This window comes from Homo sapiens, chromosome 7, assembly GCF_000001405.40.
Source record: "Homo sapiens chromosome 7, GRCh38.p14 Primary Assembly".
In the NCBI taxonomy this organism is placed as follows: Eukaryota; Metazoa; Chordata; class Mammalia; order Primates; family Hominidae; genus Homo; species Homo sapiens.
Window position 1 is genome coordinate 130,447,996 of NC_000007.14, and position 15,454 is coordinate 130,463,449.

Below are 15,454 nucleotides of genomic sequence, written 5' to 3' on the forward strand. Positions count from 1 at the left end.
CATTTCCAGGTATAACTATTTACCTCATCTCTCCTGGCTTGTACACATGATGTCCAGCATTCAATAATAAATTATAATACAAAAAAAGAAAATAAAAACAAGACAGAGAGAGAAAGAGAGAAGAGAAGAGAGAAAAAGCTTATTGTCAAGAGATAAAACAACCAACAGGACCAGGCTCAACAGAACCAGGCTCACCAATAAGGATACATAAGACAGGGATTTTAAAATAACTATCACTAATATATTAAAAGATCTAGCAGAATAGAAAATACATAGGAACATATGGGTAATTTGGAGAATAGATAGAAACTATAAAAAAAGTAAATGTGACAAATAAACACAACATCAAAAATGAAGAATCCTTGTAATAGGATCATCAGCAGGCTGGACATAGCTGATGAAGAAATCAATGAACTTGAAGATAGTATGATAGAAATGATCACAAATGAAACAAAGAGGAAAAAGTTGAGAAGGAAGTTACAGAACTCATCATTTAAAAACTGGAGAACAATATGAAGGAGAGGACAGAGAGGCAATAGGGGAGAGGAAATATTTAAAGATATAATGGCCAAGAATTTTCTAAAATTGATGAAAGATAAGGAACTACAGATCCGAGAAATTCAACAGCATAAATACAATAGAATGGAACAAAATCAAAATAAAATTTACCTATACACTCATTATAGTCACAGTGACAAAAACCCAAGATACAGAAAAAATCTCAATGGCAGCTAGAGAAAAAAAGAAGTATTATATACAGAAGAACAAAGATAAAATTACAGCAAACTTCTAGAACCTTAGTTGTACAAAACAGAAAACAATGGAGGGACATTTTTAAGTGCAGAAAGAAGAAAAAGAGTCAATCTTTAATTATATACCCAAGGCAAATGTCTTTTAAAAATGAAGATGAAATAAATTTTTTAGATAAAAATTGAGAGAATTCATTGCCAATAGACTTGTATTACACAAAATGTTGAAGGAAGTTCTTAGACTGGGCAACATGGTGAAACCCCATCTCTACAAAAAAATACAAAAATTAATAAGGTGTGGTGGCATGCACCTGTAGTCTCAGCTACTTGGGAGGCTGAGAGGTGGGAGGATTGCTTGAGCCTCAGAGGTGTATGTTGCAGTGAGCTGAGATCGAGCCACTGCACTCCAGCCTCAGCAACAGAACGAGACCCTGTCTCAAAAACAAAACAAAACAAAAACAAAGGAAGTTCTTTGGCAGAAACAGTATCATACTAGTGGAAATTTTGGTATACACAAAGAAATGGCTTGGGCACAGTGGCTCATGCCTGTAATCCCAGCACTCTGGGAGGCCAAGGCAGGCAGATCACCTGACGTCAGGAGTTCAAGACCAGCCTGGTCAACATGGTGAAAGCCTGTCTCTACTAAAAATACAAAAATTAGCCAGGCCTGGTGCTGCACGCCTGTAATCCCAGCTACTTGGGAGGCTGAGACAGGAAAATCGCTTGAACCTGGGGAGTGGAGGTTGCAGTGAGCCGAGATTGCGCCACTGCACTCCAGGCTGGGTGACAGAGCAAGACTCTGTCTCAAAAAAACAAACAAAACAAAACAAAAAAAACAGAGAAATGAAGAGTAATGAAAATGGTAAAAAGCAGTATAAATTTAAAAGACAATTAACTTTAAGTTTTTATTCTCTTTAAAAGAAAATGTACTAAGTACAATAGTAACAATGTATTATGGGATTTATAGCACATATAATTAAAATATATGACTACAATAACACAAAGGTTAGCAGAGGAATTGGCAGTGTACTATTGGGACATTCTTAGGCTATACATGAAGTGGTATTTATTTCAAGGTAGACTCTAATAAGTTTAATATACATATTATAAACCCTAGAGCAACCAGTTCTTAAAAAAGAGGTATAACTTGGCTGGGCAGGGTGGCTCATGCCTGTAATCCCTGCACTTTAGGAGGCAGAGGCAGGTGGATCACTTGAGGTCAGGAGTTCGAGACCAGCCTGGCCAACATGGTAAAACCCCATCTCTACTAAAAATACAAAAACTAGTCGGATGTGGTGGCAGGCACCTGTAGTCCCAGCTACTCGGGAGGCTGAGGCAGGAGAATCACTTGAACCTGGGAGGTGGAGGTTACAGTGAGCCAAGATCCCACCATTGCACTCCAGCCTGGGCAACAGAGTGAGACTCTGTCTCAAAGAAAAAATAAATAAATAACTCAAAATGGATAAAAAACCTAAATGTAAGAACTAAAACTAGAAAACATAAGGAGAAATCTTTACAACACTGGATTTTGCAATGAATTCTTAAATATGACACCAGAAACACAGGCAAGAAAGAAAAAAATAGATGAATGGGACATAATAAAAATTTAAAATGCTTATGCTTTGAAGAACGCCCTCAAGAGAGTGAAAAGATAACCCACAGAATATGAGAAAATATTTGCAAATCATTTATCTGATAAGCAATTAATATCCAGAATATATAAAGAATTTCTAAAACTCAACAAGAACAAAACCCAAATAAGAAATGAGCAAAGGACTTGAATAGACATGTCTCCACAGAAGATATAAATATGACCAATAAGCACATGAAAAGATATTCATCATAGTTATTCAAGAAATGCAAATGAGGCCGGGCACGGTGGCTCACCCCTGTAATCCCAGCACTTTGGGAGGCCAAGGCAGGTGGATCATCTGAGGTCAGGAGTTTGAGACCAGCCTGGGCAACATGGTGAAACCCCATCTCTATTAAAAATACAAAAATTAGCCCGGTGTGGTGGTGGGTGCCTGTAATCCCAGCTACTCATGAGGCTGAGACAGGAGAATCGCTTGAATCTGGGAGGTGGAGGTTGCAGTGAGCCGAGATTGCATCATTGCACTCCAGCCTGGGCGACAAGAGCGAGACTCCATCTCAAAAAAAAAAAAAAAAAAAAAGAAAGAAAAAGAAATGCAAATGAAAACCGCAATGAGCTACCACTTCATATCCAGTAGGATGGTTATTACATTATTATTAGAAAGAAAGAAAGAAAGAAAGAAAGATAGAAAGAAAGAAAGAAAGAAAGAAAGAAAGAAAGAAAGAAAGAAAGAAAGAAAGAAAGAAAGAAAACCAGTGTTGGTTAGAATGTGGAGAAGTTGGAACCCTTGGGCATTGCTGGTGGGAATATAAAATGGTGGGCTGCTGTGGAAAACAGTTTGGTGGTTCCTCAAAAACTTAAATATAGACTTACTAGATGACCCAGCAATTTCACTCCTCAGTGGTATATACTCAAAATACTTGAAAACAGAGACTCAAACAGAAACTTGTCCACCAATGTTCATAGCAGCATTATTCACACTAGTTAAAGGTGGAACCAACCCAAGTGTCTATCAACTGATGAATGGATAAGCAAAATATAGTATATATGTATAATGAATATTATTCAGACATAAAAAGGAATGAAGCTCTGAAACATGCTGTAACTTGCATGAACCTTAAAAACATGCTACATTACATAAGCCAAACAGAAAAGGGAAAATGTGTGATTTTACTTATGCGAGTTATCTAGAATAGGCAAAGTCATTCAAAGATAGAAAGTAGAGTAGAAGTTACCAGGGGCTGAGGGGAGGGGAGAGTGGGGAGTTATTGCTCTAAAGTTACAGAGTTTCGGCCAGGTGCAGTGGCTGATGCCTGTAATCCCAGCACTTTGGGAGGCTGAGGTGGGTGAATCATCTGAGGTCAGGAGTTCGAGACCAGCCTGGCAACATGGTGAAACTCTGTCTCTACTAAAAATACAAAAATTAGCCGGGCAGGGTGGCGGGTGCCTGTAATCCCAGCTACTTGGGAGGCTGAGGCGACAGAATCGCTTGAACCTGGGAGGCAGAGGTTGCAGTGAGCCAAGATTGTGCCACTGCACTCCAGCCTGGGTGACAGAGCAAGACTCCCTCTCAAAAAACAAAAACTTAAAAACAACAACAACAACAACAAAAACAAAAAAACAAAGTTACAGAGTTTTAAAGTTACAGAGTTAAAGTTTTGGAAATAGATGGTTATGCAATATTATGAATGTACTTAATGCCACTCAATTGCAGATCTAAATGTTTAAAGTGGTAAACTTCATGTTATGTACGTTTTACTACAATAAAAACAGACAGAACACAACCAAAGCTATACCAGCTATATTAATTTCAGAGTAGGCTTTAGAACCCTGCAGTGAACCTCCACAATGAGGCCTTTGAAATCCTGTCCTCTACCAATCACTTCCACTCAGTCTTTTACCATACCAAGAGTTCTTGCCATTCTGAAGACAGCTCTTCAAATGTGCCGTGTTGTCTCTGCCCTGAGTCTTTGTGCCTGCTTGTCCTTCTGTTTGATAAGTTCTCCCACTCTTCATCTGGTTACCTTCTACTTGTGCTTTAGGATAAAGATGGAAATCACCTCCTTCTGGAAGGCTTCCTGGGCGACCACCAACCCTCATCCCAGACTTTGGGAGGCGCTCTTTTTAAAGGCATCTGTGGGCTGCCATGCTATACTGTGATAGGCGACTTTCTTGTCTGCCTTCTTCACTACCCTATCAGCTCCTTGAAGGCAGGGATATCATGTCTCATTCTTTATATTCCTAGTACCTGGTATGGTGTCTGGTGTATGGCAGGCACTCAATCAATAGTTGTCAAATTAATATAATTATGGGACAATGCTCGTGAAGGGACATGGAAGACCAGGACATGAGAAGCTTCCCCCTTTAGCATACTGGTCATTCACCACCTTTTTTTCTACTGTCTAGTGAATCAGTATATAGGGCATAATGTGAAGTATCTCCCAATCTGATAAATAGTATCTTTTGATTGTTAAACTGGTGAAATCCACACACGATGGATGTGAATAAATGTCTGCAAATATCATCCTAAGAAACAGGATGCAACAGTGCCTGGAAACCTAATCAAAGCATGACGGAATGTGAAGGAAAGCTGTAACCTAATCAATGGCCTTAACAGCTGAAGAAAGAATATGTGAGCAGAAGGGGGGTGGTCTATAGGGAGTGCTGAAAAGTGGAGCCAAGGAACAAACATTTGTCATGATGTCTCTAGCCCTGTCAAGGGAAAGAGTTGTTTTTTGACCATTAGGCACAAGTATGCAGTCCACCCTATATCCCTATGGATGCCACAGAGCTCATCCAATTCCCTCCCTTTGTTCTGATTTCATGCTCACAAACAGCCTCCTGATTATAATTTGGCTTCCCATGTAGATTTTCCAACAGGAGAGAATGCGCTGACCAGTCAACATGAACATCTGGTCCATTTGGCAAGGAGCGTTCTCTTTGTATACGAATGCATTGGTGTTCTGGTTTCTATATCAGTCAGTTTATATACCCCAGGGTCTGCAGAGGTGCTCCTTCTTCCAGCTCTTGCTAGGACTGCCAGCAAGGTCCTGCTCCCCTTTGTTTGCACCCTTACCCAGCCAGTGTGGGCTGAGGACAAAGTATGAGGAGTCAGCCACAGCTCCTCCAGGTATAAACCCATCTTGCTTTGGGCTTACCTCTTCCTCATAGAGGTAAAGGGCTTTGGACCCACAGTCAGTGTTGATGGGCAGGACCTTCCCGCAGGGTTTTTCCTCTTCTTCAGAAGCCTGGTCTCTGCTCATGATACAGTGTTTTGTTTTTAAGATTCAGGGGGTACATGTGCAGGTTTGTTATATTGATATATTTCATGATGCTGAGACTTGAGCTTCTATGGAAATTGTCATCCAAATGGTGAACATAGTACCCAATAGGTAGTTTTTCAACCCTTGCCCCCTCCTTCCCTCCTTCCTTTTAGAGTGCTGTGTCTGTTGTTTCCATCTTTATGTCTGTGTGTACCCAATGTTTAGCTCTCACTTATAAGTGGGGACATGTGGTATTTGATTTTCTGTTTCTGTGTTAATTCACTTAGGATAATGGCCCCCAGCTGCATCCATGTTGCTGCAAAGGACGTGATTTCTTTTTTTTTTTAATGGCTGTGTAGTATTCCAGGGTGTATATGTACCACATTTTCTTTATCATGATACAGTTCTATCTTCCTGTGCTGTGGTTCCCTGCCAATACATTCATGCACCTTAGCAATAATTTTCAAAGGTCAGGGATTAGGAAAAAACACTTCCAGAGAACACAGCTGATATCGAGATGACTCTGGCTGTGGTTCACCCTGTCAAGGACTCAGGCATAAGTGGAATGGAGGAAGGAGAAGGAGATGGCCAGCCTCTACCCTGTTGAGTTAGTCCTGTTGGGATGGATGCTTGGATAATTTCTGTTGGTCCTAAGGCCTCCACCAACGTTTTGGTAGTGCTGTGGCTATTCTGGGGTGCTTTATCTTGATGGGCTGCTTTGAGTTCTGGAAAAATTTAGGAGCTAAGTTAATGGAATTACTGAGAGGAAATGCCAAATGGATTGTTGTTGGGCTGGAGAGAGGCCTTGTATACATTTTCAGGTTGAAAGGAAGATCTGTAGAAAGTAGAGAGAAGGAAGATGGGGTTGGTGAACCCTATTCTAAGAAAAGAAAAAAAACCTAAAAATTCGTAGTTAACTGGAGGAAATTAAGCATTTATTCTTCCTTTCTAGCAGGAACTGATTTCAGGGTAAGCAAATAGTCCCCAGTTGGTGAGGAAAAGCTCTGTCAGAAGAATGTCATCAAATAAATGCAGAAGGAATTATAAAATAAGAAAAGCAAAATTTTGGAAGCCCAAATAAAATTACTGATTCAGGCAAAAAGCTTCAATTGTTGTTAAAAAAAAATGCTGGGGAGCTAGATACTTGTATAGTACCAAACAAACACATCCCAGACAGCTTCTCAGTGGCAAGGAGGAAAAAACATACAATGAAGGGGTCAGGTTGTCAGCATCCTCATATCTGGGGGTGGTCAATCTTAGTTTTACTAATGGGTAGTGTATTAGTCTATTCATGCTGCTGATAAAGACATATCCAAGACTGGGCAATTTACAGAAGAAAGAGGTTTGATGGACTTACAGTTCCATGTGTCTGGGGAAGCCTCACAATCATGGCAGAGGGCAAGGAGGAACAAATCACATCTTACATGAATGGCAACAGGCAAAGAGACAGAGAGTTTGTACAGGGGAACTTACCTTATAAAGCCATCAGATCTCTTGAGATTTACTCACCTTCACTAGAACAGCACAGGAAAGATCCACCCCGATGACTCAATTACCTCCCACTGGGTCCCTCCCACAACATGTGGGAATTGTGGGAGTTACAATTCAAGATGAGATTTGGGTGGGACACAGCCAAACCGTATCAGATAGTCAGCTAGATATTATGTGTCCCCTGATGTAACTTGATGCAGCATACAATATAATTTATGGTATGTTCTAGCAAAATGTATTGAACTGAAACATAGAGTTCAGATATAACTTTTATGGGAAAACAAGAGATGGAGGAACAAGCTGAATGGCGTCATGAAGAAGCAATCAGAAAAATCAGAAGGACATTCTGCAAGATAACTGACCTGGCCTCTTCAGCAGGCCAAACTCATGGAAAAGGTACTGTGCTAGCTTCAAAGAGATTAAAGGGACATCAAAACAAGATGCAATACATGGTCCTAGATTGGCCATCCATTAGGGCAAACTAACTGTAAAGAAAAATTTTTAAGCAAATGGAAAAATTTGAATATGATTGAGGGTTAGTTGAAATGGAAACTTACAGAAATGGAAAGGCAACTGAAGTTTCCAGAGAGTATATTTAGTAATATGTCATTTGGTTAAAACATTACATATAAACACAAAGAAAGAGGCAAAAAGATATTAATGTGGGGCTTAGCAATTGTATATTCCCTTTTTTATTGAGATACAATTTACATACTGTAAACTCACCCATACATACCATATATTTACATACCATATTTTACAAGGTTGTGGCACCATCTCCACTATATAATTCCAAATTATTTTTATCACCCCAAAAAGAAGCCACATATACATTAGTACCCCATCTCCCCTTTCTCCACCCCAGGAAGCAATAATTTACTTTGTCTCTATGGATTTGCCTATTATGGACAGTGCATGTACGTGGAATCATATAACATGTGGCCTTTTGTAGCTGGCTTCTTTCATTTAATATAATGTTTTTAAAGTTCATCCATGTTATGGTATGTATGATTACCTCATTCCTTTTTGTGGATGAATAATATCCCATTGTATGGATATATTAAATTTTGTTGATCCATTTATTAGTTGATGAACACTGGGTTGGTTTGACCTTTTTTTTTTTTCTTTTCAGATGGAATTTTGCTCTTGTTGCCCAGACTGTAGTGCAATGGCGCAGTCTCGGCTCACTGCAACCTCTGCCTCCTGGATTCAAGTGATTCTCCTGCCTCAGCCTCCCAAGTAGCTGGGATTACAGGCATGCGCCAGCCACCATGCCCAGCTAATTTTCTATTTTTAGTAGAGACAGGGTTTCACCATGTTGGTCAGGCTGGTCTTGAACTCCTGACTTCAAGTGATCCACCCGTCTCTGCCTCCCAAAGTGCTGGGATTATAGGCGTGAGCCACTGCGACCAGGGGTTTGACTTTTTGACTATTTTGAATAATGCTGCTATGATCATCCATTTACAGGTTTTTGTGTGAACATATGTTTTCAATTCTCTTGGGTATATGCCTAAGAGTGGAATTTTGCCACATGGTAACTTTATGTTTAACTTTCTGAGGAAAAGCCAAACTGCAAGGCTGGGCACGATGGCTCATGCCTATAATCCCAGCACTTTTGGGAGGCTGAGACAGGAGGATTGCTTGAGCCCAGGAGTTCCAGACAACCCTGGGTAACATGGCAAGACTCTATATCTACAAAAGATATAAAAGATTAGCCAGGTGTGGTGGCGCATGCCTGTGGTCCCAGCTACCCAGGAGGTTGAGGTGGGAGAATCACTTGAACCCAGGAGACTGAGGCTGCAGTGAGCCGTGATTGTGCCACCACACTCTGGCCTGGGTGACAGAGCGAGACCCTGTCTCTAAAAAAAAAAAAAAGAAAGAAAAGCCAAACTGTTTTCCAAAGCAGCTGCAACAGTTTACATTTCCACCAGCAATGTATGAGGGTTCCAATTTCTCCTATCCTCTCCGACACTTGCTATTGTCCATTTAAAAAATAATAACCTTCCTGGCCAGGTGCAGTGGCTCATGCCTGTGATCCCAGCACTTTGGGAGGCAGAGGCGGCTGGATCACCTGAGGTCAGGAGTTCAAGGCCAGCCTGGCCAACATGGCGAAACCCCGTCTCTACTAAAAATACAAAAAAGTTAGCCACGTACAGTGGTGCATACCTGTAATCCCAGGTACTTGGGAGGCTGAGGCAGGAGAATCACTTGAACTCAGGAGGCGGAGGTTGCGGTAAGCTGAGATCAAACCATTGCACTCTAGCCTGGGTGACAGAGTGAGACTCCATCTCAAAAAATAATAATAATAATAAAAACCTTCCTACTGTGTATGAAGTGGTATCTTATTGTGGTTTTGGTTTTCGTTACCTGATGGCTAATGATGTTGAGCATCTTTTCATATGCTTATTGGTCATTTTTATATCTTCTTTGAAAAAAATTTTTAGTTTGTTTTATTTTGTTTTGGGGTAGGGTCCTGCTCTGTTACCCAGGTTGGAGTGCAGTGGCATGACCATGGCTCAATGCAGCCTCCACTTCTCACGCTCAAGCAATTCTCTCACCTCAGCCTCCCAAGTACTTAGGACTACGGGCACATGGCACTACACCCAGCTAATTTAAAAATTTTTGTAGAGATGAAGTCCTGCTATGTTGCCCAGGCTTGTCTCAAACACCTGGACTCAAGTAATCTTCCCTTCTCAGCCTTCCAAAGTGTTGGGGTTACAAGCATAAGCCACTGAGCCCAGCCTGGAAGAAATATTTATTCAAGTCCTTTGCCAACATTAAAATTAATTCATTCTTGTTTTCTAATTGTTAAGCTAAAATAATTCTTTTATATTTTCTGGACACTAGACTCTTATCAGACATGTGATTTGCAAATATTTTCTCCCATTTTGTGGGTCGTTTTCTCACTTTATGGGTCATGTCCTTTGAAGCACAAGAGTATTTAATTTTGATGAAGTCCAATTTATCTATATTTGCTTGGTTTCTTTTGTTTCTTGTGTCATATCTAAGAAACAATGCTTAACCTACATTTATGAAGATTTACCCCTATATTTTATTCTAAGAGTTTTACAGTTTTAGCTCCTACAGTTAGGTCTTTGATCCACTTTGAGTTAATTTTTGTATTTAGTATGAGGTAGGAGCCCAACTTCTTTCTTTTGTATGGGGGTAACTGCTTGCCCCAGAAACATTTGTTGAAAGGACTGTTTTCTCCCTAGTGAATTGTCTTGGCACCCTTGTCAAAAATCAGTTGACCATAAATGTATGGGCTTATTTCTGAACTCTCAAGTCTATTCCATTTATCTATATGTCTACCCTTCTGGCAGAATCATACAGTCTTGAATATAGTAGTCCTCCCTTATTTGAGGTTTCACTTTCCATTCGTGGTTTTAGTTACCCACAGTCAACCGTGGTCTAAAATATTAAGAAATTTTGAGAGAGTGAGAGCACACATTCACATAACTTTTATTACAGTTTATTGTTATAATTGTTCTATTTTATTGCCTATTTTTGTTAATTGCTTATTTTGCCTAATTCACAAATTAAACTTTATCATGGGTCTGTATGCATAGAAAAAAACATAGTGTGTGTGTGTGTGTGTGTGTGTGTGTGTGTGTGTGTGTGTATAGAGAGAGAGAGAGAGAGAGCTATATATATTGTTCAGTATCCACTGGGGGGCTGGGAACGTACTCCCCATGGTTAAAGGGGGACTACTGTATTGTAGCTTTAGTAAGTTTTGAAATTGGAAAGTGGAAGTGTGAGTCTTTCAACTTTATTATTTTCCAAGGTTGCTGGGCTCTTCTGTGTCCCTACCATTTCCATTTGATTTTTAGAATCAGCTTGTCAATTTCTGCAGAAAAAAAAAAAAGGCATTTGGGATTTTGATAAGGATTGCATTGATTCTGTAGATCAATCTGCAGAGTATTGCCATCTTAACCATTATAAATCTTCCAACCTATGAACTATATATCTTCCCATTTATTTAGGTCTTCTTTCACTTATTTCAACAATGTTCTATAGTTTTCACTGTACAAGTCTTGAATTTCTTTTGTGTCAGTAGAAGTAAGCTCTTATGGTCTTTCACAGCCCTGGGCACAAATATGCCCTATGTATGCATGTAGACTTGTAGAGTTTAAGGAATATGCAGATTTTTTAAAAGTTCCTGTGGACATTCCATTCCCAGAATTTTCTGTTAAGCTTTTTGCTTGTCTATTATTTGCTCCAACTGTTATTCATGAACTCAAGCAGCCATGAAGTTAAACAATTACCTTTAATTGTTTTTGACAAACATACTAGGGAAAAGGTTTTTTTACACTGATGAACTTTAATCACATAAAGCCAGCCTTGCAAGTAGGGTTCCCGGGAAACACCAGATAGGTAAAATAATGACAATTTCTTTTGAATGAGGCTTTGAAGGAGCTCCAGCTCCTTCAAAGTGGTGGGAGGTTGCGGGACTCTGCCCTCTCTGGTGGCTGCCGGGCTGCTGCTTTTTACTGCAATTGTGGGCTCTTTGTTTTCAAGGCTTCTGTGGATCTAGAAAGAGGAGCATGGGAATAGGGAAAGTTAAATTATCACAAAACTCATTGTTTTTACTGAGATTCAGCTGTTTTTCTTTTTTTTTAAGAGATGGGGTCTTGTTCTATCACCAGTCTGGAGTATAGTGATGCAATTATAGTTCACTGCAGCCTTGAACTCCTGGACCCAAGCCATCCTCCCACCTCAGCCTCCCACGTAGCTGGAACTACAGGCATGCACCACCATGCCCAGCTAATTTTTAATCTTTTCTTTTTTTTATAGAGACAGAGTCTTACTATGTTGCCCAAAATGGCCTCAAACTCCTGGCCTCAAACAATCTTCCTGCCTTGGAGCCACTGCACTCCTGGCCTTAGGTGTTTTTCTTGAATAAATGTTCTCTGAATGCTGTAAGCCTTTGGTTAATTTCCAGAGTTCTGAAAGGGTTTATTCTGACCATTTTTCCAGTTTTCCCATTGCTTTCATGGAGGAGAAGATTTTGAGGTTCTTAGTCTACTATTCTTGCTGATATCATTCAGCAGTAATAATTTCTTGGTGATGGTCATGTGGCAATTTATTTTGTAATACTGGTTGGTCTCAATGTTCTAATTTTCCACAATATCCATGTGATATGTCTGCAATAATACATGGTCATTTACATAAAGTAAAAGAAATAAAATCTAAAACTAAAATCCATGAAACTTTAGTTGCCATTTCAGGGTAAATCTGGCTGGTCAGACCAGGGACAATACACTAGAAACATTCATTTAACTTTCCCTGATTGGTTACTTCAGTGATCACTGTCAATTTACCTGTAACAACCAGAAGTAAAGCCTTTCAAGTGAGAAGTTTATCTGCATGTTTGTGGGGACAGCAGAGAGAACAGTGTAGTGACTGTGACTCTCCAGTTAGTTTTGAGAGAGAGAGCTCCTTGGGATGGAGGGGTAATTTTTAGGGTGACCATATGCTGGTTTCCTGGGACAATCCCAATTTATACCTGTTGTCACAGTGTAATAATTAAAAGCATCCACTTTGCACTCTCAAAAGTGTCCCAATTTGGACGATGAATTTTATGGCCACCTTAGTTATTGACAGCAGCAGCAGATGACTCAGGAACTACTGCAAGAATGGAAAACTTGGGGAGCCAGTCTAGGATTAAGAGTGGATGTAGGGATGACAGTCGAAAGGACTGAGCATGGCTCCCCAACAAATGCATAGAGGTTTCCCCCAACAGTGTCTCAGGTATCGCTTGGATTCTTGTCTCAGGGGAGTTCTTAGTTCAAGCTGATTCCTCCTGTGTTACTATAAGGCAATCACTAGATCCTCTTCCCACCTGCTCTGGCTAGCAGAGGAATTAAGGCCCACCTCCAGGCTCTTGCAGATATTTTCCATTTATCTTTGGTAAGAGCAGCCACATGACAATCCCTTTCTGGGCTTCTTGGGCCAAGATATGGCTTGCAATTTGTGGTACTGAGTTCTCTGGTTGAAGAAGATGCTCTGTGATAGTCTTCCAGGTGTCTGCATCTTGGCTGAAACTGCTTTGGAGGTTCGGGGAAAAAGACTCATCAACTTCAAGGATTTAGGTGAGTGATTAGAGAGAGACAAACAGGTAAGTCTTGCCGCCTAGAGATTAGGAAGATGAGGTTCTAAGGATTCAGGGTGACTGTTAAATGCAAGGTTTGGCATGATCAAGAGCCTTCTTTGGATTCTTTTGGGTAGGCTGAAGACAGGAAACACATTTCACTAGCTTTCCTTAAGTTTTTGGAGGAGAGGAACACCAGGCAAGCATTCTCCACATGTGGGGCAAATATGTAGATGTTGCTCACTGAGAAAATAAAACACAACAAATCCCAGAATCCAGTATGATCACCATAGCAATGTAAACCCTTTCTATGAAAGGAATGTTTCAACAAAGTAGTCACGAAGCAAGGGCGATGTTTTCCTCTGAATGCCTGTTCTCACCCTCACATGCAATTATGCAGGCATAGGCCAATGATAGGCAGGAAATTTGTTGATGAGTGCACAGCTCTTTCAAAAAAAAGCTGTGATTAGGTGTGGGGCAAATCAGCAGGTAGGGTCAAGCTACTCATGATAAGCCTGTATTGAACTAGATTCACCTGGAGGGAGACTTGTTTAAAAGGTATTTTCAGAGTACCTACAAAATTGCCTCATTTATGTTTTTTTCTCTCTTATTTCATTGATGTATTGAATTACATCCACTGACTTTAAAATGTTAAGCCAATCTTCCATTTTTGGGATAATCCCCCTTGGTCAGTTTTATTTATTGTTGCATTCAATTTATTAATATTTTGTCTATGTTTATGTATGTATGTTCATAAGGGATATTGGCCTGGAGTTTTATTTTCTTGTAATGTTTTTGGTTTCAGTATCACTGTATTGTTGGTCTCATAAAATGAATGTTTTCCCACCTCTGTTTTCTGAAACAATTTGTGTAAGCTTGGTATTATTTTTTCCTTGAATATTTAATAGAAGTCAGGGAAACCTCTCTCCTGTTCGGAGTTTCTCTTATAGGAATATTGTTTACACTTGACTTTATTGAGAATTTACACCCTTAAATTGTACCCATTTTAAGCATACCATCCAATGAATGTTGATAAATGTATATACCCGTGTAACCACAACTACAATCAATTCTGTCATCCTTATAAGTTCCCCTATGCTCTGGTCCAAGCAATATACATTAACCTGGTCCTAGGCTACCACTGGTCTGCTTATGTCACTGTGGATTAGACTTGCATTTTCTAGAATTTCATTTATATGAAATCATATGGTATGGTTATTGTGGTTCATCATACTGTTTTTAAGACTTATCCATGTTGTTGTAGGTATTAGTACTTAGTTACTTTTTATTGCTAAGTGTGGACATACTACAATCTGTGTATTTATTACCTGTTAATTGACCATTGGGCTGACTTCAGATTTTAGCTATTAATAAACCTACTATGAATATATATGTACAAGCCTTTGTGTGGACATATGTTTTTATTTCTCTAGTGTAAATAGGAATGGAACTGTTGGGTTGTATGGTAAATATACATTTAACTTTGTAAGAAATTGCCAAACTGTTTCTAAAGTGGCTGTACTATTTTATATTCCCATCCACAATATATGAGAGCCACAGTTTCTCAACACCTTCTCCAACACTCAGTATTCTCACTTTTAAAAATTGTAGTCATTCTAGTGGGTGTGTAGTAGTAAATTATTGTGGCTTCAGTTTGCATTTCTCTGATGACTTATGATATTGTACATCTTTTTGTGTGTTTGTTGGCTGTGCATCCTATTTTGTGAAGATCTCTTCAAACCCTTTGTCTATTTTTAATTGGGCAGTTTGTTTTTTTAATTCATGAGGTTTAAGAGTTCCACATATATTCTGAATACAAGTCGTTTGTCTGATACATGTTGTGAATACTTGCTTTTTTGGGGTATCGGTTATTATAAGTTGTATTTTTCAAGGACTTTCTCCATTTCATCTAGGTTTTCAAATTTACCAGCATAAAATTATTCATAATGTCTTTTTTTTTTTTTTTTTGAGACAGCATCTTACTCTGTCACCAGGCTGGAGTGCAGTGGTGTGATCTCAGTTCACCACAACCTCTGCCTCCTGGGTTCAAGCAATTCTCCTACCTCAGCCTCCCAAGTAGCTTGGATTACAGGAACATGCCACCACACCTGGCTAATTTTTGTATTTTTAGTAGAGATGGGGTTTCTCCATGTTGGCCAGGCTGGTCTTGAACTCCTGGCCTCAAGTGATCCACCCGCCTCAGCCTCCCAAAGTGCTGGGATTACAGGCATGAGCCACCACGCCTGGCCTCATAATGTCATTTTATTAT